This window comes from Homo sapiens, chromosome 3, assembly GCF_000001405.40.
Source record: "Homo sapiens chromosome 3, GRCh38.p14 Primary Assembly".
Taxonomy (NCBI): Eukaryota; Metazoa; Chordata; class Mammalia; order Primates; family Hominidae; genus Homo; species Homo sapiens.
Window position 1 is genome coordinate 153,043,025 of NC_000003.12, and position 865 is coordinate 153,043,889.

The window sequence follows — 865 nt, forward strand, 5'->3', positions numbered from 1 at the left end:
AACTGAGAGGCGAAAGTCCCTTCCTTCTCCAAGTCACGTTGTTTATACCAGTGAATGTTAATTTCCTTAATAAGTTTCAAATTAGTGTCTTAACCCTGAAACTCAAATGTTTCATTATACTATTTTTTCCTATATAGGAAATACCTAAACTCTAAGGAAATTCACTCTTTCAGTTGCCTTCCTCCACTTAATCACTAGATGGCGCCCAAAGAATCTATTTCCCTCCCATTGACTGGAGATCGAGCATAGCTGAAAAGGCAGCTCTTCATTGTGTAAAAAGCCCAAGGTTTCTTTTTTTTTGAGACGGCGTCTCGCTCTGTCGCCCAGGTTGGAGTGCAATGGCGTGATCTCAGCTCACTGCAACCTCCGCCTCCTGGGTTCAAGCAAGTCTCCTGCCTCAGCCTCCTGAGTAGCTGGGACTACAGGCACCCGCCACCACGCCCAGCAAATTTTTATACTTTTAATAGAGACGGGGTTTCACCATGTTGGCCAGGATGGTCTGGATCTCTTGACCTTGTGATCCGCCTGCCTCGGCCTCCCAAAGTGTTGGGATTACAGGCGTGAGCCACCGCGCCCAGCCAAAAGCCCAAGGTTTCTGTTCTCTGTTCAATTTCTATTTTTTTATGTGTTATTTGGGGAAAAATGCACAGATATTTTTTATTATCACTTGGCATTTATAATGCATTTTTTAGTCTTTTTAAGTCCACTACAATTTTGTAAAGCCCTTTCCTTCTCAGTAAGTCAGTTTTCCATTCCTTTATCTTATACAACAATAGTTATTTTCTTATTCTGATACTTACACTGCTCTGCTTCTTTAGAAACATTTGACTCATTCCCTTCTCCTGAGAATTAGTTACCAAGCGTC

At 42.2% G+C, this 865-nt stretch overlaps 1 annotated feature.

Annotated features, from left to right (window-relative positions):
* Positions 337–386: a silencer, noted in NCBI's record as "silent region_14828". NCBI's record gives its function as "represses an Ori minimal core promoter by ATAC-STARR-seq in GM12878 lymphoblastoid cells {active_cell/tissue: GM12878}" and the evidence as "EXISTENCE:reporter gene assay evidence [ECO:0000049][PMID:35858748]".